The following is a 21141-nucleotide window of genomic DNA, read 5'->3' as shown; positions in this document are numbered from 1 at the left end:
TCGTATCTATAGTTCTCTAAATTTTTCTTGTGCACTGGATCCTACCTCCTTGTCCTCCAATTTCCATAATTATCCTTCCCTCTACTACAATTTTTCCCCTTTCTATAGAATCATTTTCATCTTAAAATCTCACATCTTGAAATAGACTCCTGGCCAGGCATGGTGGCTCACGCCCAGCACTTTGGGAGGCCAAGATGGGTGGATCATCTGAGGTCAGGAGTTCAAGACCAGCATGGCCAACATAGTGAGACCCCGTTTCTACTAAAATACAAAAATTAGCCAGGCGTGGTGGCAGGCGCCTGTAATACCAGCTACTCAGGAGGCTGAGGCAGGGGAATTGCTTGAACCCGGGAGGTGGAGGTTGCAGTGAGCCGAGATCATGCCATTGCACTGCAGCCTAGGCAACAAGAGCAAAACTCTGTCTCAAAAAAAAAAAAAAAAAAAAGACTCCTTACATCCCATATCCTCTTCTAGCTACTAACCTCTTATCTAGTTCCCTCCTAACAGATTTCCCATTAGAAAAGTTTTCTATCTCACTGTCATCACTGCCTCACCTCCCATTTTATTTCAGCCACATCTAGCAGGCTTTTTTCACCTCTGACTCCACTGAAACCTTGTCCTCTTAACACAAGGTCACCACCAGCTTCTTTCCTGCCATATCCTATAGGCAGTTTACAGTTCAGTTGACCTCACAGATGACTACTCCCTTCCACTTGAAACATTTTCTTCATTTGACTTTTTTGGTACCACTCTCCAGGCTACTTGTTCTCAATCTACTTGCTGCCTCCTCTTCCTTCTCTGAATAGAGTGCCCTGGGCCTCAGTCTCTTTCTCCTCTGGCTCCCTTCATTCTATGAAACTCATTCGCTAAAGGGAGGGAATCAGCAAACTTTCTGTAAAGGACCAGACAGTCGATATCTTATGCACTGCGAGCCATATGACTTCTGTCTCAACTACTCAACTCTGCCATAGACAACACATAAATAATTAAGTATGGCTACGTTTCAATAAAACTTTATTTACAAAAACAGGTAGTAGGTCAGATCAGCCCTAAGTGATCTCATCCAGTCAGTTGATTGGCTGGACACCCAAGTTAATATAACTCATCCTACCATCTCTGTTCAACATCTCGATCTTGATGACAAGTAGGCATTTTAAATATATATACCTAAATCAGGACTCTATTTCCATCTTCCAAGCTATCTTTCCCATATGTCCATCTCAGCAAATTATATACACTTAGCTGCTTGTTCACCTATGATTTCTTGTTCACTCATACCCCATGGCATGTCTGTTAGCTCTACTTTCAAATCATAAGATGAATACAGCATCTTCTTACCACCCCTCACCACTACCATCCCAATCCAAGCTACCTTCACTGCTAATCTAGACTTCTGAAATAGCCTGATAACTGATCTTCCTACTTCCAATCTTGCCCCTGTTTAGTATATTCTTCACAGAGCATCTACAGTGATCATTTAAAAACATATTTTTGATTATGGCTTTCAATCACTCTTGGAAAAGAAAAATCCAAATTTCTTACTATGATAAACAGAACCATATAAGACCTGGCCCCTGCTCAGCTCTAAATTCATATTTAGTTACTCTTCCCCACTCTGAATCTGCTCTGAGCTTTTCCAGTTCTTCAAACACACAAAGCTCACTTCTCTGCTGTGCTTGGAATTATTTTCTTCCAGATATTCACATGGCCTAAGCCTATACTGCACATCTCTGCACATATATTCTCTCTTCGAAGAGCCTTCCCTGGGCAGCCCACCTCAATTAAACCTGCCCAAACTCTATCTCTTTACCCTTCATAGGTTTCTTTCATAGCATGCATCATTATTTAATATTATATATTCATTTGTTTACAGTTTACTATGTATCTCTGCTACTACAATGTTAATTCCATTAGTGTAGGGAGGTTTTGGCCTTATTCACCAAGGCACTGATAACACTTGGCACAGAGTGAGCACTCGGTAAATATATGCTGAATATGTGAAAGACTGAACTTTTAGGCATTAGAAACAAGCACACATGTCAATGGAGAAAAGATAGGAAGCAATTGATTGCACTAGGAAAGAGCATTCCCTTTACTGAAATGGAGAGTAATACGAGGGGAAACAAAAACAAAGACAGGTGGTAAGTAGGAGCCAAGATGAGGTTCTTTTGATAGTTCATGCTCAGATGATCTGTTTTCTTCCCTGTCTTAACCTTTACTCCAAAGGCCTGAGGCCTCTGAGAGTAACTCCCTAAACAGCATGCAAAGCCTGTATATGCTCCCTCACCAGCTGGCCGTGACTGGCAATGAGGGCTTCCATCTGCCTGATGAACTCTCAACTCACCGGGGCACTGTCTTCCTGTCACATCCCTCGCCACCACGCAGGGCTCTTTCCCTTGCTCCAGTAAGGTAATCACATCTGGCTTTGAGCCAGAATATCCTGCTTACAAGAAAGAAATAAAAGAATATATAGAAATAAAACATTGCACATTCAGAAACATTTTGAGACTTGGTTAAATTTATATGGATCAACATGATTTCGATGAAGACTTCGGAAAAAACTGACAGGATTAAAGAATATTCAACTTAGTGTAACCTCAGGATCCCAGAGAATAAAGAAACTTGATGGGCAGGGGAATTAAAATTCATCTAGGAGAATTTTAATTCATTTTGGAATTAAAACTCATACAGACTGGCTCTATTGAGAGGCAGTAGTTATTGAGGGCATAGCCTCTGAAGCCAGACTATGTGGGTCCAAATTCTACTCTACTACCTATTGACTAATGATTGTAAACAAACTGGTTAAATTATTTGGGCCTCAGTTTTTTCATCTGTAAAATGAAAATAAAAGTAGTACCTTTTATTTTCTTTTTTTCTTTTGTATCTTGTAGCTAGTACTTAGAATGATGCCTGGTATATAGTAAGCACTCTATTAGCTATTATTATTTTTGTTGTTGTTAATTTACTTAGAGCAAAACAAGAAGCTTCCTAAAATATTTCTAGGTTCTTGCTAAGATATTCATTTAAAGTTAGATGCTAAGTTAATAAATTTTATTTTACTTTAACTAATTTCAACTTTTATTTTAGATACAGGGCCATACGTGCAGGTTTGTTACCTGGGGATATTGTGTGATGCTGAGGTTTGAGGTACATTTGATCCCACCACCCAGGTACTGAGCATAATGTCCAATAGGTAAAATTTTCAATCACAAATCAGTAAGAGAAAATATTTGTTTTAGGAAGTAGAATGCATTCACTTTAATTTTAAATCAATGTTATTGGTCTGAACCATGACATGTAAATTGTAGACCCTGGGTAGGGCTGTTATCCTTATAGGCATGTTACCAAATAACAGAGCATCCATAGCAATTCTGAGCTCAAATGCAATGTGAAACCTGATTTCATTGACATTGGCTTTGGAGTAAATGCCCCAAAATTCAAATCCAGTCTCTTAACTATTAAGGAAGAAGTAACTACAGTAATGGATTAAGGAACATTTCATGAGGCTCAGTGAGGTATGGTGAAAATGAAAGCATTTAGTGGAAGTGCCATTCACAAACCATCAAAGTTCAGTCCATTCCTTGAGGAAGAGAGAAGAAATTCAGCTAGTTTCTTAATAATTAGTCCTAAATTTGTGGAAGAGAAAGCTACTATTTCAGATAACAGAGTCTACATTATTTGACATAGGTGACCTTACCCAGTGAGACCAAGTTATTATAATTCTCCAACATCACATCTCTGTACAATTTCCTCTGGGTAGTGTCCAGGCACTCCCATTCCTTCTGAGAGAAGTCTATAGCCACATCCCTGAACGTCACCAATGCCTGAAACCATAAACCAACATATTACTGGTGAAATTACAGAACAAGTATTTTAAAAAGAAGAAAAGGAGATAAAAGGTTTCATTGCAGCAAGGGGTACTATACTAAACTCTAGGCTGGGGCTGAAAGCTTATGATAAAGATAGAAGAAAGGAACCAGGTGTTCTAAAGCAGAGTCACCTCATTTTCTTGAAGAATCCAGCCACTATATGCAAAATTTCCTGTATATTATGGGGTTCTTTAACTACTCAAAACATTTCTGGGAACAAATAAATGTTTCCCAATTCAATTAAACAGTGGATACAAGCAAATAAACTATATTTCTACCTCAAAAATTCTCAATAAATTATTACTTAATAATAAATACTTTAAGAAAAACCACTTAATACATAAAAAAGAATCCTATATCCTCTTTTTCCTTTAAGTTTATCTATCTATCTATCTATCTATCGATCAATCGATTGATCAATCGAGACGGAGATCTCACTCTGTTGCCCACGCTGGAGTACAGTGGTGAACTCAGAAGTTCGAGGCCATAGTACCTCACTGCAAATCTGGGAGAATACAATTAACTAATATTTATGTATCTGGATGATTTTCTTATAAGTACTACACACCTTCTTTTTTCTTGAGATTAAGAATATTGATGTAATGAACCAGAATCATACTGATGTCAAGACTAGCACATTCCGTTTAACCACAAAATGCGTCTTACTATGGGTTTTCACCTCAGAGATTCTCAGGAAAGATCCCCTGGCCTCTCTATAAGCAGGCCCCAACCACATACTGAAACTGAGGCCAATCAATATTAAACTGCATTTATCTACAGACACAGGATCTGTGGAAAACTGCAGTGCTTTCCTACGTGTAGTCAAATGATTCCATTCTTGGTTTCATTACACCTCAGATCTGACAAAGGATGGTAAAGTACCTCCCCCTCTAGGAACTTCATGTCTGTTCCATCTCTGCCCTAGACAGAGACTGAGTACCCTGAATGAGTTGGTCAATGTGCATGTGGATACTGGTTAGAAAAGAGAGGGGGCCCATGGGAGGAGCTTGGAAATGTGGGGATGAAGAAAAAATTCTTAGGAAGTGTCAGCATAAAGAGTGAAAATGTTCACATGATCTTTAAAAACAAAATAATCTAAAAAGGAAAGAGAAACTGTGACTTACATGGGCCATGGTTTTACACTCACAAGAACTGCTCAGTCTTCCGCAGGATTATTCTGCTGGAGAAGCAAAGTTCTGAGAAGCCTGAGTTAGAGGAGAAAAAAATGAGACAGTGAGACTAGGTCTGCCTCAGAGGTAACAATATGATATAAATTAATAATCTTTTATTTTCCACTGTTGCTTGCAAATACCTCCCCTACACTTCCCTCACCTCCCTCCGACACACTCACCACAGCAAGGGAACCTGGCTGTACGAGGATGGACACAGTGCAGAGGTTATCCTGCATTAGAACACATGACCAATATTTCAGCAGGAGAGTTCTGGGCCAATCCCCACTATGAGGATACTGATCTAGGCCCAAGGCTGGGATGTTCAGAATTGCCCAGAGTAGATTCTCTTCCCTCAATTCTCACCATCCAAAGGGGACAGACCACATTATCCAAAGCAGACTGCCTTCATGGCCTTAGGAGCTTCCTGGCCTCCCCAGACTTAAAAACGAAAGATAGAACAGACTAGGAGTTTGCAACCTATGGCCCATGGGCCAAATCTGGCCCGCCCATATGTTTTTGTAAATAAAGCTGGAATGGAACACAGCTATGCTCATGTGTTTACTTCTGACTATGGCTACTTTCAGAAAGCTACCATAGCCAAGTTGAGTAGTTGCAATGGAGATTGTATGGGCCACACAGCCTAAAATACTTCCTATTTGGTCCTCTATAAAAAACATTTGCTGGCTGGGCGCAGTGGCTCACGCCTATAATCCCAGCACTTTGGGAGGTCAAGGCGGGCAGATCACCTGAGGTCGGGAGTTCAAGACCAGCCTGACCAACATGGAGAAACCCCGTCTCTACTAAAAATACAAAATTAGCTGGATGTGGTGGCGCGTGCCTATAATCCCAGCTACTCAGGAGACTGAGGCAGGAAAATCGCTTGAATCTGGGAGGGGGAGGCTGCGGTGAGCTGAGATCGCCCCATTGCACTCCAGCCTGCGTAACAAGATTGAAACTCCGTCTCAAAAACAAACAAACAAAAAACCAAAGAAACAGTTGCTGATCCCTGGCATAGACAATCCATGATGGCCTTTATCATTGCAAAATTATACTTGCACACTGGGATCCCTTTTCCTAGCCTGAACTGGAACTCCCACAATCCTCAGGGCTCACCACTCCCCATTTCCCTCAATCAGAAGAGTCCCCAGGGTCCCTGCAGGACATCATTCACCCTCCCTTCTCCCTCAGTACCCAAACTAGAGGGAGAAGTAAATTTATGGCCCTGGAAGCAATAAAAAAAAAATCAACTTTTATGTGATGCATACCTTATATATAGCTATTTAATCCTTAGAACAGTTCTACAATGTCATTATTATCTCCACTTCAACATCAGAAAAACAGAAACCTAAATCCACTGTTAATAAACAAGACATCTGAGTTCTGAATCCACAATTCTCCAACTACAAAGCCAGTTCTTTTTCAACTGTGCTCTTGTCACTGATACCCAGAATTTCTTATTACGCCTAATAAAACCCAAGCGTGAATAATGACTTGGGTTTAATGACTAAAAGCTATTAAATGTTGCTACTTATTAAGATAATATACGTTAAAGTGGCAAATAGCATTTTATATTTACAACACGGGAACATTGAATAGACTGATAATAACATGTTAAACTGGAGTAAAATAGATGCCCTCACGCCATGTTATACACTGGTGCCACCTTAAAGAGGGTAAATTAGAAATTTATATTAGCAGAATTTAATAATATGAGCCAGATGTTTCAGTAATCCCACTCCTATGACCCTGTCTAAGGAAAATAATTATATATGTTCACTAGGATATATGCAGACAGGTGCAGATAGACTAATTTTAAAATGGAAAAAGCTAGATACAAACATAAATTAGACTTCAATAAAGAACAGGTTAAATAAATTCTAGTGTATCCATATAATAGAAAATAAAGTAGCCATCAGAAATAATATAGATTGGGAGTCTGCAAACTTTTCCTGCAAAGAACCACATAATAAATATTTCAGGCTTTGTGGGCCAGCTGGAGGATCCCTTGAACCCAGGAGTTCGAGACTGCAGTGAGCTATAACTGCACCACTGCACTCCAGCCTGGGTGAGACAGTGAGAGCCTGTCTCTTTAAAACAAACAAATACAGTATCTGCAAAGTGCAATAAAATGATGCACAATAAAATGAGGTATGCCTACATTATCATTAATGTTGACGCGAATATCTTCAAACAAGAGGGAAGAAAGTGCATTTGTCTATAAAAGGGCAACACAACAGATCCTCGAGGTGATGGAAATGATCTATCTTGACTATCAATGTCAACATCCTGGTTGTCATATTATACTACAGTCCTGCAAGATGTTGTCATTGGAGAAGACTAAGTTGAAGATAACACACAATGTCTCTATTATTTCTTACAACCTCATATGAATCTACAATCATCTCAAATTTAAAAAAAAATTTAAGGAAGTTTTAAGAATTTCATTTTCAAATATTTGCTAGATGAATTAAGTTTTTACCCCCTTCAAATCTTGAAGGCAAATTAATGCTCCAGGTTGTACTGTTCAATAGGAAGACTATTAGCCATATATAGCTGTTTACATTTAGATTTATTAAAATTGAACACAATTTAAAAAATTCGTTCCTCAGTCAAACCAGCCACATTTCAATTTCTCAATAGCCATATGTAGCTAGTGGCTACTATATTGGAGAGCACAGATATAAAAAATGGAACTCAGTTTTGCAGAAATTCCTATTAAAAAGCATTGTTCCAAAGCGTTACACGACTGACACCCTCACTTTACAGGTGAGAAAACTGAAGCCAGGAGATATCACTATAATACAGCGCTGCACACAATCGTGCTCATTCTCACCATATTATGCTCACACACTTCTTTCCCCACATTCACTGCCACAGGCGAACTCTCAATGAATCATTCACTACATTTATATAATTTCATGGGAATCTATTTTAAATTCATGACCATGCAAAGAAAAATCAATTTCTTACAGGTTATAAGATACTCAGTCGCAGGCTGAATCTGATTAAACAGACATCAGTCACCCTCAAAGCTATAATCAAACCATTCCCAAGACCCTTCCGCACACAATACTAAATGCGCCACTAATAGCCTCAAGCATAATCTGACGCACATCACACAGGCATGGCCACTACCCACTCTGCACCCACAGAGGACACTCGGACACGCGCGCGCACAGACCCACACACACACGCACACACACACACATGGCCGCAAAGAATGCGTCACACTTCCGAACCCCGTTGAGCAGCAACCCGGTATCGTGGCCACTGCGTCACGGCCAGAGCTGTCAGAGAGAAATCCAGACCTTACCTGACAGCCTTTTGCAGCTCTTCTAGCCCGGGATGACATTCCCCTGAAGGCACCACGGCAAGACTCAACCTCTTTGTGTGAGATTCTCTGGAATTTCTGGGGCGTTACTTGAGTATAATGAAATAGGGTAGGCTCGGACCATAGTAGGGTAAGTCCCACAGTTCGAGCAAGGGAGCCTCAGGGATCGTTCTGTTCTGGAGCGCCGGACCCGATCTTAGCTGCTGGGCCTGCGCAGACACGATCCGGCCGGTTTCCAGTTGTAGACTACATTTCCCGAAGGCCCCCGCGTCGCTGCGCAACGTCGTACACTTACGCTGTTATGTCTTGACGCACGGAGCTTGTCTGCGCCGGCCAGGTGAGTGGGCGGCCTCACCGGGAACCGCTCGCAGCTTTTGGGTTGCTTCATCGAAAAAGTAGTTCTTGTATGGTGCTGGGAATACCGGTGTCCTGGCTGGGGCTCGGTGCTGACAGGAACGGGACGGTGCTCTGGCTAATTACTTATGGAAGTCGGCCTTGCGCTTGCGGAGGGGTGTCGGCACCGTCACTTTGGTTCTGGCAGTGGCGGGGGTGTGGTGCTGCTAGTTGTGTTCCTCCGCACCGAATTTATGAGTGTGCCCCTGGAGCCCCTGCCGCGGACAAAATCGGCACCATAACTTTGGGATAGGGAGGCTAGAAGGAGGCGGGTGTTACTAGTAGTGTTCCTCCGCCCTGGACGTGTGCGTGTGCGCTTGTGCGGCCGCGGGGTGGGCTCACCTGCCGCCTGTTAATGCTCCTAGCGCTTGGCCCCTCCCGGGCCGCAGTACTCCTCGTGTGACACGGACATCATTAAGCCAGCTGAGAATCGTGCGGTTACAGCTGCTGCAGTTTCTTTGCAGAGTAAGAGGCTCTTTTTGAAGTTTCCCTGATGGTGAGGCTTTACCCCTGGAAGTGTCTTAGGAAGAAGACCACTGTTAAAGATGTCCTATTCTAGCTTGACAGCCCTGTGGGGAAGACTAATCCCTTTCTAGAGGTTGGTGTTATCCTAAATTGTTTCGTCTGCTCCGAGAGCTCTGATGTTCTATGATGCTTATTTCTTTTCTCGGTTCTGCGTTTTCCAAGAGAGGCACCCAGAGGAAAAGAATATCGCACTTCTGAAAGTCTTGTGTGAAGTTCCTGTTTTCTTTCTAACCTCAAATTTCTTCCTTTCCGAAACGTTTTCTACCTCCAGCAACATCTTCCTAAGGAAGAACCAGCCATGCTAGTGACTGGTCCTTAGGCACCCCATAAATGATGCTGCGGGGATGGGATCATCAGTTTAGCTCTACTCCCCAGCCACACTACACCTCTCCTTTCCACCCAATGATACAGCAGTCCTTTCTGGTCTAAGATTTTTTTGTTTGTTTGTTTGCTTTTTGAGACGGATTCTCGCTGTGTCGCCCTGGCTGGAGTGCGGTGGTGCGGTCTCGGCTCACTGCAAGCTCCGCCTTCCGGGTTCACGCCATTCTCCTGCCTAAGCCTCCCGAGTAGCTGGGACTACAGGCGCCCGCCACCATGCCCGGCTAATTTTTTGTGTTTTTAGTAGAGACGAGGTTTCACCGTGTTAGCCAGGATGGTCTCGATCTCCTGACCTCGTGATCCACCCGCCTGGGCCTCCCAGAGTGCTGGGATTACAGGCGTGAGCCACCGCGCCTGGCCTGGTCTAAGGTTTTGATGAAAAATAACTGTACTTTCTGGGGGAAATTTGAAGAGTTTTAAAATTTTAACTTTATTGTGGATGTTTTCAAGCAGGCTAAAGAATAATACGAACCCCAACATGTTCAACACCTAGCTGTAATTAAAAACATTTGTAAATACCTTTGTATCAATCCTTCCCCGTTTTTTCCTATAGTATTTCAAAATTGTATTTTATCCTCTTATAAGCATATATTACCAAAAAGGACATTATATTTTAAAATAACCATGATGCTGTTATACCAACATAAAAAAAAAAACTAACAATAAGTTTAAAACAATAAATTTGTTTCTTATGTTGGTGTAACAGCGTGGTGGTTATTTCATAATCTTGTATACCCCCATATTCAGATTTTCCCAATTATTTCAAAGACATATTTTTACAATAGGTGTGTTCAAATCTGGATCCAGATAGAGTCCACACATTGCATTTGGTGGCCAAACCTGTTAAACTTACTTAATGCATGATAGTTTCCCTCCTGTGTTTTGTTTTGGTTTAATTGGTGCTGTTGATTTGTAGAAAAACTAGATCATCTGTCCCGTAGAATATTCTGTATACTGCTTTTAGCTAATTGCTTCTTTGTACTGTCTTATAATTTGTTTTCCGTTCCTTCATATTTCTGTAAACAGGCAGTTAGATCTAGAGGTTTGATGGAATTTGGATCAGATTTTCCCTAAATCACCTTTAATTCATAGTTGGTGCTGTGTACTTCCTATTACATCACATCATGAGGCCCTTACAGTCTGATGTCCCACTTTCAGTGATGTCATATTGATGTGTTTAAATGCTGTCCATTTAATCCTTTCCTTTTTTTCACCTAAAGCATGCATTCTCAATGAGGGTGGAGGATATCACCTTCCAAGTGGGTGAAACTTGGTTTTTGAGAAGGAAGAGGACAAAAACTCATAGGTATTACAATGATCTGTGGTCCTCCAAAGGGCCACAGTACATAAACATATATACAGTATATCTATGGTAATAAAATTTCATGAGAGTGGTGGCTATTAGAGAAAAGTATCTAAAAAGGTTCCTAGGGATATGACCGTGAAAAATTTTAGAAGGATTGAGAAGCACTGACCTAAAGGTTATAACGTCCACTTATGATTGATACCAAGATCCATTCTTTATTTTTTTTTCCTCACTCTGTCGCCCAGGCTGGAGTGTAGTGGTGTGATCTCAGCTCACTGCAGCATCCACCTCCCAGGTTCAAAAGGTTCTTCTGCCTCAACCTCCCGAGTAGCTGGGATTACAGGCATGTGCCACCACACCTGGCTAATTTTTGTATTTTTAGTAGAGACGGGGTTTCACCATGTTGCCCAGGCTGGTCTGCAACTCCTGACCTCGAGTAATCCACCCACCTCAGCTTCCCAAAGTGCTGGGATTACAAGTGTGAGGCACCGCGCCTGGCCCATTCATTAACAGTTATATATGGTGATTAAAAAAAAATTCTCTCAATTCCTCCTGTATTCATTAGTTACAGTTCTTCTATATATAAGAACTTTTTTTCATCAAGTATTTGGTTATCTTAAAATACGGTTCATGGCCATGTGTGGTGGCTCACGCCTGTAATCCCAACACTTTGGGAGGCCGAGGCAGGCGAATCACCTGAGGTCGGGAGTTTGAGGCCAGCCTGACCAACATGGAGAAACCCCGTCTCTACTAAAAATACAAAATTAGCTGGGCATGGTGGCACATTCCTGTAATCCCAGCTACTCGGGAGGCTGAGGCAGGAGAATCATTTGAACCCGGGAGGCCGAGGTTGTGGTGAGCCGAGATTGCGCCATTGCACTACAGCCTGGGCAACAAGAGTGAAACTCCATCTCAAGATAAATAAATACAGTTCATATGGAAAGGCAGAGTAATTGATTTGATTCTTTCCCTTTATATATTTTCAGAGAAATGAGTTGGTGCCCTACAACCTTCTAAGGAGTCCCAAAAGGGAGTGTCTGTTTTGAATACCATATGTTTCGAACTATTGTGATCATTATTCTTTTTTATATCAAACTGCTCTTTTTTAAGCCAGTGGTAGTCCTTTCCAGGCAGTTCTGTGTCTTTCTGTCATGATTCTAGTAGAGTTGATAGCTTATTTGCTTTCTGGCAGAACAAATGATCCCAAGATCAACTTCTACATTTCCTGTGCCAGCCCTGAAATGAGCCATTTCTCTAAGGAGTTCTGATTCCTCTTGTGGTATACAGTGTACAGTGACCACTGTCTGGGCATTAGAGTTTCTCATTGCCATAAGGCTGTCGTTTATTCTAGGCCATTTCAGGGAACAAAGCTAATAACTTGTTTTTAAAGTATAAATCATGAATCATGAATTTATAATAATAGTTCAGACAAATTACAGAGTATTTTCTTGTTTGATTTTATACTTGTATCTCTGTTTTATGCTAACAATCTTGGTTGCTAAAACATTAATATAATTTACGTTCTTTATTCTAAAATATAATTGTTTGAAAACAACAGTAACTGTCACTACTGTTAAGATAGAGAATGCATTTTAGATTTCTTTTGGTTTTTATGTTTTGCTATATTTAAGGTTCATGGATTACATTTGGTTATGCCTCTTTAGTCTCTTAATTAAAAATCAGTACTCACATAGCATTGGTTTTTTAAAATTTTTATTTTGATATAATATTACACTTACAGAGAAGTTGCAAAAATAATAGAAAAAACTGTCCTATGTCCTTACATATTTACCAGTTTTTAACATTTTGCTTTTTTGTTTGCTAATTCTCTCTACATATATACTTCTGAACTACCTGATAGTAATTTTCAGACATCATTTTCCTTTATCTATAATTATATTAGTGTATTTTCTGAGCACAGGGGACTATAACTATAGTTCATTTATTAAAATGAAATGTAGCAGAGATGTAATAATTGTCTAATCCAGAGTTCATAGAAAAATTTCACCAATTGTTACAATTTTGTCCTTATAGCTTTTTTTTTCTTCTTCTTTTTTTTGAAACGGAGCCTCACTCTGTCCCCCAGGCTGGAGTGCGGTGGCGAGATCTTGGCTCACTGCAAGCTCCGCCTCCTGGGTTCACGCCGTTCTCCTGCCTCAGCCTCCCAAGTAGCTGGGACTACAGGTGCCCACCACCACGCCCAGCTAATTTTTTTTTATTTTTATTTTTTTTTACTAGAGACAGGGTTTCACTGTGTTAGCCAGGATGGTCTTGATCTCCTGACCTCGTGATCCACCCGCCTTGGCCTCCTGAAGTGCTGGGATTACAGGCATGAGCCACCGCATGCCCAGCTCCTTATAGCCTTTTTTTGCCCCTTATCTGGCGTCCAATCCAAAATCATATCTAGGATCAAACATTTAATTTAATTAAATCATCTCTTTAGTCTCTTTTAATGGAAAACAATTCCTGGACTTTTCTTTGATCCTTTGTGATCCTGACTTTTTTGAAAACTACAGGCCTGTTATTTTGTAGATTGTTCCTCAGTTTGTATGTGTTTGATGTTTCCTCATGATTCAATTCAAGTGTGCTTTTTTTTTTTTTTTTTTTTTTTGAGATGGAGTCTTGCTCTGTTGCCCAGGCTGGAGTGCAGTGGCGCGATCTTGGCTCACTGTAACCTCCAACTCCCGGGTTCAAGCAATTCTTTGCCTCAGCCTCCCAAGTAGCTGGGATTACAGATGCCCGCCACCACGCCTGGCTAATTTTTGCATTTTTTTGTAGGAATACTGCTTCAGTTCATTGGCCAGCACCTTCAGTTAGTTGCTTTTTGTATTATGTCCAGATCTGATAGGTGTATCTTCAAGGAACTTAGTCCAGTAGGATCTTAATGATATTGGATTCAGAAGTCTTCTCAATTTCGTTTCAATTTGAATTTCTCTTTATTTAAATGATGAGCATTTTACATGTTGAATGACCGTTGACTTTTTTTTTATGAATTGTCTGTTGTCCATTTAAAATAATGATTTTTTTGTCTTTCTCTTGTTTTCCCTCGATTTTTAAAATACAGCTCTTTGGATTTTAGGACTCTGTTTTTTATTTAAGTTGCGCATATTTTCTCCCATTTTGTCATTTGTCTGTGTATTCTTTTAGGCAATTTTTAAATGTAGGAACATTTATTCATATGATTGTGAGATACAGAATTTTCCCCTCTGAAGTTAAGAAGGAACAGTCTGTTTTTCCTTCTAGCATTTTTGTGATTTTTTTTTTTTTTTTTTTTTGAGACGGAGTTTGGCTCTTGTCGCCCAGGCTGAAGTGCAGTGGCATGATCTCGGCTCACTGCAACCTCCGCCTACTGGGTTCAAACGATTCTCCTGCCTTAGCCTCCCAAGTAGCTGGGATCACAAGCACCCGCCACCACACCCAGCTAATTTTTGTATTTTTAGTAGAGATGGGGTTTTACCACATTGGCCAGGCTGACGGTGAACTGCTGACCTCAGGTGATCCACCTGCCTCAGCCTCCCAAAGTGCTGGGATTACAGGCATGAGCCACCACTCCCTGCCAATTTCATTTTTTAATATTTAGATATCTTATATATTTGGAGTTAATTTGGGTATGTGTTATAAAATGGGGTTCCAATTTTACCTTTCTCCAATAACATTTACTGAATAATCCACCTTTCCCCAGAGATCAGAGATTCTATTCAGTTACATTAATCTTTTCTTTCTATTCATATGCAGTATCCAACTTTTTAAAAATAAAATTTCAACTTTTATTTTAGATTCAGGGGGTACATGTTCAGGTTTGTTATATGGCATATTGTGTGATGCCGAGGTTTGGGGTATGATCCAGTCACCCAGGTAGTGAGCAGGATACCTGATAGGTAGGTAGGTTTGCTCCTTTGCCCTCCTCCTTCTCTCCGTGCTCTAGTAGTTGCCAGTGTCCATGTTCTCATCTTTATGTTCAGGTGTACCCAGTGCTTAGCTTCCAGTTATAAAGGACAACATGTGGTATTTGGTTTTGTTTCTGTGTTAATTCATTTAGGATAATGGCCTCTAGCCACATCTGTGTTGCTGCAGAGGATATGATTTTGTTCCTTTTTACAGTATCCAACATTTTAATGATAGGAGTGGTATTTTGAAATCTCTGTTCTCTTTATTATCAGGCATTTTTTTCCAATTCTTGCTTTTTAATTTTCTTGCTTGTTGAATTTAAATTGAATGTATCTGCTTTCATACTTGTACTTTTATTGGGGTCATATTTAATTTGTATATCATATGTCAAATATCCTATTAACTTGCAGAGGTTAACATCTTTATATCATTTTATATATATTATTTTAACCCATGGGATTTTTTTTTTTTTTTTTTTTTTTTTTTTTGAGATGGAGTCTCGCTCTGTCACCCAGGCTGGAGTGCAGTGGCGCAATCTTGGGTCACTGCAACCTCCACCTCCCGCGTACAAGTGATTCTTCTGCCTTAGCCTCCCAAGTAGCTGGGACTACAGGCATGTGCCACCATGCCTGGCTAATTTTTGTATTTTTTAGTAGCCATGTTGGCCAGGCTGGTCTTGAACTCCTGACCTCAAGTGATCTGCCTGCCTCGGCCTCCCTGGGACTACAGGCGTGAGCCACTGCGTGCAGCCAACCCATGTATTCTTAATGACGATGATATTGCCTCAAAGGAGGTGAAAATTGGTTAGCGGGGAGGACAAAATCTTAGTACAATGGCTTATGGTGCTTCAAAGCTCAACTATACCCAACAAAATCTTACTTAAATTATTTACCTGCTCTCTTACTGGGTTTTCTTGGTATCACACAAGTAACATTGATGTTAAGTTCATGGATTATACATGTATGCAAGATCAATGCTACCAAAAAAAAAAAAAAGATCAGTGCTACACAACTATGGCAAGTAGGTGGCTCTAGTTGGGGAACTTGCTCAATCTTGAAGTCATATTGCAAGAGGGGGCGTGCTGTGCGCACATTGGCTGTCATGTGGATGTTGCTCCTGTTTGACCCTCCGTGCTTCTGTGTGTGCCATGGCTTGGAGAATTAGGTTACAGTTAAAATAGTTTGTTTTGTTATTCTACAAAAGTTATTCAACCTGTGAAATAAAAAAACAAATCCAGACTTTGGTAAGGAATGACTTTATTCACAGGAACACTGCAGTAAGGGAGGAGGTGTTGTAATTGGGAGAATACTCCAGCCATAAGATCTGCAAGCATAGCAAAGGTCAGGCATAAAGGAATTTTCTTTTATAGGGAAGAGTAAACAGGCAAGAAAGAACTAGATTCAGGGGAGTGGGATGAGACTGTTTTGGATCTGTTGACCCTGATATGTCTGTCAAAATGTCTGTGAGTCTAGCTGATGTTCATGACGTCTGAAAGAAGGCCACATTTTGGTCTCTGAAGCCCCTTCCTAAGATTGGGAGCAAAGTACCTGACTTAGTGTTTGGGTCCAGGAGGATGGTGGGGGGCTCCCTGGGCATGCCTCTGTTCTACTGTGGAAGAGGAGATGCCATGGGAAAGTAACAGCACCTAGGGTCCTGTTCAACATGGACATTAAGGAAAGGTCTGCCTGAACCCCTTCTGCAGTAGCTGGCTTCCATTGGGTTTGTGGAAGAACTGAGATTTTTTCCAAATTCCCAAAAGAGGAGAAGTAAAGGTAGTTCTAAGTAGTTTATTTTGTGGGCTGTGAGCCAAGTCTAATCTTGTGGCTTCTTTTCCTTGTCCAGCACTGGCTTCTCTGGACTTTGCACACCTCCAGGAGAAGAACCCAGAAAATTGATCAGTTCTAAAAAACCATGCCCCACGTGAGTTGCTGTTTCTTTCCTTCTTGAAGTACAATCATTTTGTTGTGTAATGTGAACACCAGATTTATCCCAGAATTTCCTGCCTTGTTTGGTTCCTTAAGGGAACTGCTTCCAAACGTCTCCCATTCTAGCGAGTAATAGTAGCAAAGAGCCCAATTCTTCTCAATGCTTTTCCCCTCTCCAAACAGTTTTCAGATATTCATTCAGCAGATAATTCTACATTGTCCACAGGCATAGTCTTCTGCCCAGAGCTCTGAGGGAACAGAAATACCTCCTTTTAAGATTGGTACACATTAGTACCACGGTTTGGTGAGGTAGAGATGAGTGTTTAAATGTGATACATGACAAAATTTGATCTTCTCTACAATCCTGGGTTTTCCATTTGAAAGTGATAGCATTTTTTTGTTGGATGTTCCTAGTCTCAGTGTGTGGCAAGATTTTCTGTGAAAGTTTGAAAATTGGTTGGGAATTGGGTTCTATGAAGGAAGGAGTCTTGTTGCTGATATAGTTTCCTGTTGCTGCCGTTACTAATAACCACTAATTTAGTGGCTTAAATCAATATAATTATGATTTATACCTCTGCTGGTCAGAAGTCTGAAATCAGTCTGAAAGGGCTAATATCATAGTATTAGCAGAGCCATGTTCCTTCTGGAGGTTCTAGAGGACTGGAGAATCTGTTTCCTTGTCCTTTTCTGGTTCTAAAGGCTGTCCACGATCCCTGGGGTGTGGCTTCCATCCATTTTCAAAGCCAGCAATCACATTTTGACTTGTGCTTTCATCATCACGTTTCCTTTTTTTACTCACCTGCCTCCCTCTATCACTTACAAATACATTGGGCCCAACCAGATAATCCAGGATAACCCCCTCTCAAGATCCTTAATTTAATTGCACTTCTAAAGTCCCCTTTGCCATGTAAGGTAAGGTATACATAGGTTTTGTAACGAAATTCAGGTCCAGACCACTTGTCACTTGAAAGTTTAAGAGATGAGCATTGGTGAAAGGATGGTTAGCTCTATTCAGGAATCCAACAACCCAGGGGAGGCAGTGAACTAGTGTTCAAAGACCGCCGAGTTCTGTCTCCATATCAGGGGTTTTTAAGGGAAATTAGAAAAAATGATGATCAAAACATTCTTGTGAAATGTGCAGTCTCAGGTCATTGCTTTGTTGGTCATTGCTTTCTTGGTCAGTGTTTTGTGGCCTTCTGTAGGTGCCATCAGCCTATTCTTATCAGGCTGGTCAGCCCATTCCCAGAGTTGTTAGTCTGCATATTTTAATTCTCTTATCTCTGTTGAAGGTCCTGTTTTCCTGAGACTGTTCTTACTGAATAATCTACAAAGTCAAGCAAAGTAATTATATTTAAGCAAGCAAGCTTTTCTTTATCATTGAGTCAGTACTGTTACTGTTTCAGGGATTAGGTTGTGGACATGTTTGGGGGGCCTTTATTCTGCCTTCTACAACCCTCTTGCCCAGGAACCAATGAGAGAGGATGATCATAGTCAAGTTCACCTTGGGATTTCCCGGAATGTACCAGTTCAGAGTGATGTCTCTGTGTGCCTGGACTGGCATCCAGTACCTTGCTATAGCCTAGGAACGTGGAAAATAGGAGCAAATAAAACATGCCAGATGCATACTCTCAAGAATTATAGATTCTAAGAGCTCAAAGACATTAGAGAATTTGTCTAATTCCTTTTTTTTTTTTTTTTTGAGACGGAGTCTCGCTCTGTGGCCCAGGCGGGAGTGCAGTGGCGCAATCTCGGCTCACTGCAAGCTCCGCCTCCAGGGTTCACGCCATTCTCCTGCCTCAGCCTCCCGAGTAGCTGGGACTACAGGTGCCCACCATCACGCCCGGCTAATTTTTTTTGTATTTTTAGTAGAGACGGGGTTTCACCGTGTTAGCCAGGATGGTCTCGATCTCCTGACCTCGTGATCCGCCCGCCTCGGCCTCCCAAAGTGCTGGGATTACAAGCGTGAGCCACCGCGCCCGGCCGAGAATTTGTCTAATTCAGATACTCCCAAATAAGCAGATCATTTTGTATGTAAAATGGAAATATGTCCATTCTGTTCTGTGACATAATATAACTTGATGAATCTGAGTCTTCAAAAAATTCTTAGGTTATATTCAAATTTTATTTTCTAACCTAGAGATTTGGTAAACATTGTTTGGAAAAAAATTCATCTTTTTAAAAGTATTTAAAGGCAGAAGGGAGAGCAAGAACTTGTATTAATTGAGAGTATATTAGTTATTGAGGATTTGGAAGCCTTATCTGCTGTGCAATTAAAACCTGTTGTGAAGAAAACGCTTGCAGTATTTTCTTTAATCAAGAAACTGCACACATCTGGCTTTTTAAATTCTCAGACCTTTCTGGATAATGGAATTGTTCTATTGTACAGAGGAAGTTTTATCTGTGGCAATAGGAATGATAGAGAATCAGGTTAATACTACTGTTTAGGCAACCAATTTCCTGTTGTTTTGTGTTACTTGCTTCCTTCAATTACCTCCTCCATTTTCTTCTCATTTCACTTCAGAATCATTCCTGTAGAATCATCCTGTAATGGATTTGTTGTTTCAGTTGTTGGTGACTTTCAGGGATGTGGCCATTGACTTCTCTCAGGAGGAATGGGAATGCCTGGACCCTGCTCAGAGGGACTTGTACAGGGATGTGATGTTGGAGAACTACAGCAACCTGATCTCATTGGGTAAGATCATCCTACGTAATATTCAGAATTTGTTCCCCATAATTTCTGCCTCATTCATTGTGAATTTCTGATCTCCATTCCCTAAGGAAAGGCTTACGTTTGAGTAGAAGTAGAAATGGACAGCTCCACCGTGTACCTTTTTATCTCTTATCCTTTAGACTGTCACATCTTTCTCTGTCACTTCCTGTCAGTGTCTCCCTTCTTTGATGCCAATGGACTAGATTTGAATCTGGGAATCCCCTAGCATGACCATGCACCATTTCCTTTCTTTTAAGCTGTATGTGCAGTCCCTAAGCCAAATATACTTTCCTTACTGGAGCAAGGAAAGGAGCCCTGGATGCTGATGAGAACCATGACATAAAGACAGAGCTCAGGTGAATAAAGGCTGGTCACAGTGTCAGCTATTGCTAATAATACAGCTGATCCGTAGGTGGCAGCACTTTGAGGTGTGTGCCTGAAGCTCTCTTCAAAGGCCTGTGGAAAGAAGGCTTGAGACATAGGGAGAGCAGGAAGGTTATGTGTGTGAGTTCCCCGTGGAACCTCCCTCCCAACTCCCATTTGCCACTCTTCTGTTTTACATTCCCTTTTTGTTTTAATAAGGGAGCTACCTTTGGTCTGATCTCTTTTGGGGACAATGCTTTTATCTATTTTTTGAATTACGTTTTTCCTGGTTGCTCTTTTATAGTTAAACTTGGATAAGTATCTCTAGCCAGCACATACGTACTGAGAGCTTGCTACGTTCATAGGTTAGGAGGACCAGGAATGATAGCTCAGGGGAGGTAACATTTGAATTAAGACCTGAATAAAGTTGGCTGTAAATCAGGGAAAGGTGTGTTCAGGCAGAGGGAAGAGAAGATCCTGAGAGAAACTGAGCTTCACTTGTTTGAGAATCAGCAAGAAGGCCAGTGTGGCTACTGAAAGTGGAAATTTGAGGTGAGGTTAGAGAAATAGGCAGAGGTCAAATCATGTAGGACCTTGTTGGTTGTTGCAAGCAGTGAGATTTTATTCTAAGTGTGATAGGGAGCCCCTGGCTGACTTTTTGCAGACAAGTAAAGGATCTTTGTTTAGAGGTCACTGAGTGCTATGTGAACAGTGAGGATAAAAATGAAAGCAGGAAGACTAATGAGAGGACTAGTTCAGAAGTTCACACTAGAGATAACAGTGGCTTGGAATTGGGTTTAATATGTGGAGGTGATGAGAACAGGCTATATTTTGAAGGTAGAATTAATACCTTCATAATGGAGTTATTTTGAAGATTGGCAATAGAGGCATCAGGGTTTGGAAGGCTGGAGAAGGAAGTCAAGAGTTACGTATTTGATATGCTCATTAGATATCTGTGTGGTGAAGTTAGATAAGCATTTGGAAGCCTGTGGGTGGAGGGGATAGTCAGGACTGAAGAGATAAATATGGGATTACTCTCTGTACCGAGGAACTGAATGAGATTATGGAGCGAATTGGTTTAGACGGAAGGCAAGGTACAGCTCAAGGACTGAACCATGGGGTGTTCCAACATTCAGTCAGGAAAACAATCTAGCAAAGGAAATTGAGGACTAACCTGAGTAACCTGTGACCTAGGAAGAGGGAATGCAGTGTATTGGAAGCCAACTGACAAAAGGAGGAAGCAGTTAGCTGAGAGAGATAATGCTAGGAGTTCAAGTAAGA

General features: G+C 41.0%; 2 protein-coding genes and 1 long non-coding RNA gene across 11 annotated transcripts in view, besides 8 other annotated features; 1 reads left to right on the top strand and 2 right to left on the bottom strand.

The window, feature by feature from the left end:
* Positions 1-21141, bottom strand: part of ZNF540 (zinc finger protein 540) — a 62806-nt gene that overhangs the window by 10730 nt on the left and 30935 nt on the right. The window contains exons 1-4 of one of the 3 annotated variants that reach the window (NM_001172225.3): positions 8355-8574; positions 4994-5074; positions 3698-3824; positions 2345-2440 (exon numbers count right to left, since the gene is read on the bottom strand). In NM_001172225.3, coding sequence (NP_001165696.1) covers positions 2345-2440; positions 3698-3824; positions 4994-5002 — 232 coding nt within the window. In that variant the 5' untranslated portion in view covers positions 5003-5074; positions 8355-8574. Of the gene's footprint in view, positions 1-2344; positions 2441-3697; positions 3825-4993; positions 5075-8354; positions 8575-21141 lie in introns of those variants that run through there. The other 2 variants (NM_152606.5, NM_001172226.3) reach the window with 2 other exon arrangements.
* Positions 8097-8146: an enhancer, noted in NCBI's record as "active region_14554". NCBI's record gives its function as "activates an Ori minimal core promoter by ATAC-STARR-seq in GM12878 lymphoblastoid cells {active_cell/tissue: GM12878}" and the evidence as "EXISTENCE:reporter gene assay evidence [ECO:0000049][PMID:35858748]".
* Positions 8333-9015: an enhancer, noted in NCBI's record as "H3K27ac-H3K4me1 hESC enhancer chr19:38085336-38086018 (GRCh37/hg19 assembly coordinates)". NCBI's record gives its function as "activates a minimal SCP1, AML or CMV promoter by ChIP-STARR-seq in naive H9 embryonic stem cells {active_cell/tissue: H9 hESC(naive)}" and the evidence as "EXISTENCE:reporter gene assay evidence [ECO:0000049][PMID:30033119]".
* Positions 8333-9016: a biological region, named in NCBI's record as "H3K27ac-H3K4me1 hESC enhancer GRCh37_chr19:38085336-38086018".
* Positions 8377-8496: an enhancer, noted in NCBI's record as "active region_14553". NCBI's record gives its function as "activates an Ori minimal core promoter by ATAC-STARR-seq in GM12878 lymphoblastoid cells {active_cell/tissue: GM12878}" and the evidence as "EXISTENCE:reporter gene assay evidence [ECO:0000049][PMID:35858748]".
* Positions 8537-8736: an enhancer, noted in NCBI's record as "active region_14552". NCBI's record gives its function as "activates an Ori minimal core promoter by ATAC-STARR-seq in GM12878 lymphoblastoid cells {active_cell/tissue: GM12878}" and the evidence as "EXISTENCE:reporter gene assay evidence [ECO:0000049][PMID:35858748]".
* Positions 8658-21141, top strand: part of ZNF571 (zinc finger protein 571) — a 30533-nt gene continuing 18049 nt past the window's right edge. The window contains exons 1-4 of one of the 4 annotated variants that reach the window (NM_001290314.2): positions 8658-8709; positions 9131-9230; positions 16705-16782; positions 19353-19479. In NM_001290314.2, coding sequence (NP_001277243.1) covers positions 16774-16782; positions 19353-19479 — 136 coding nt within the window. In that variant the 5' untranslated portion in view covers positions 8658-8709; positions 9131-9230; positions 16705-16773. Of the gene's footprint in view, positions 9364-16704; positions 16783-19352; positions 19480-21141 lie in introns of all 4 variants that reach the window. The other 3 variants (XM_017026858.2, NM_016536.5, NM_001321272.2) reach the window with 3 other exon arrangements.
* Positions 8967-9016: an enhancer, noted in NCBI's record as "active region_14551". NCBI's record gives its function as "activates an Ori minimal core promoter by ATAC-STARR-seq in GM12878 lymphoblastoid cells {active_cell/tissue: GM12878}" and the evidence as "EXISTENCE:reporter gene assay evidence [ECO:0000049][PMID:35858748]".
* Positions 9016-9697: an enhancer, noted in NCBI's record as "H3K27ac-H3K4me1 hESC enhancer chr19:38084654-38085335 (GRCh37/hg19 assembly coordinates)". NCBI's record gives its function as "activates a minimal SCP1, AML or CMV promoter by ChIP-STARR-seq in naive H9 embryonic stem cells {active_cell/tissue: H9 hESC(naive)}" and the evidence as "EXISTENCE:reporter gene assay evidence [ECO:0000049][PMID:30033119]".
* Positions 9087-9216: an enhancer, noted in NCBI's record as "active region_14550". NCBI's record gives its function as "activates an Ori minimal core promoter by ATAC-STARR-seq in GM12878 lymphoblastoid cells {active_cell/tissue: GM12878}" and the evidence as "EXISTENCE:reporter gene assay evidence [ECO:0000049][PMID:35858748]".
* ZNF571-AS1 (ZNF571 antisense RNA 1) overlaps positions 16102-21141 on the bottom strand; it is a 38400-nt gene continuing 33360 nt past the window's right edge. For 3 of the 4 annotated variants that reach the window (NR_038248.1, NR_038249.1, NR_038250.1), the window contains one exon: positions 16102-18111. This is a non-coding gene — a long non-coding RNA (ZNF571 antisense RNA 1). Of the gene's footprint in view, positions 18112-19615; positions 19968-21141 lie in introns of all 4 variants that reach the window. The other variant, NR_038247.1, reaches the window with a different exon arrangement.

This window comes from Homo sapiens, chromosome 19, assembly GCF_000001405.40.
Source record: "Homo sapiens chromosome 19, GRCh38.p14 Primary Assembly".
Taxonomy (NCBI): Eukaryota; Metazoa; Chordata; class Mammalia; order Primates; family Hominidae; genus Homo; species Homo sapiens.
Note: the sequence above shows the minus strand (reverse complement) of the source record. Positions and strands in the feature narration are given on the sequence as shown.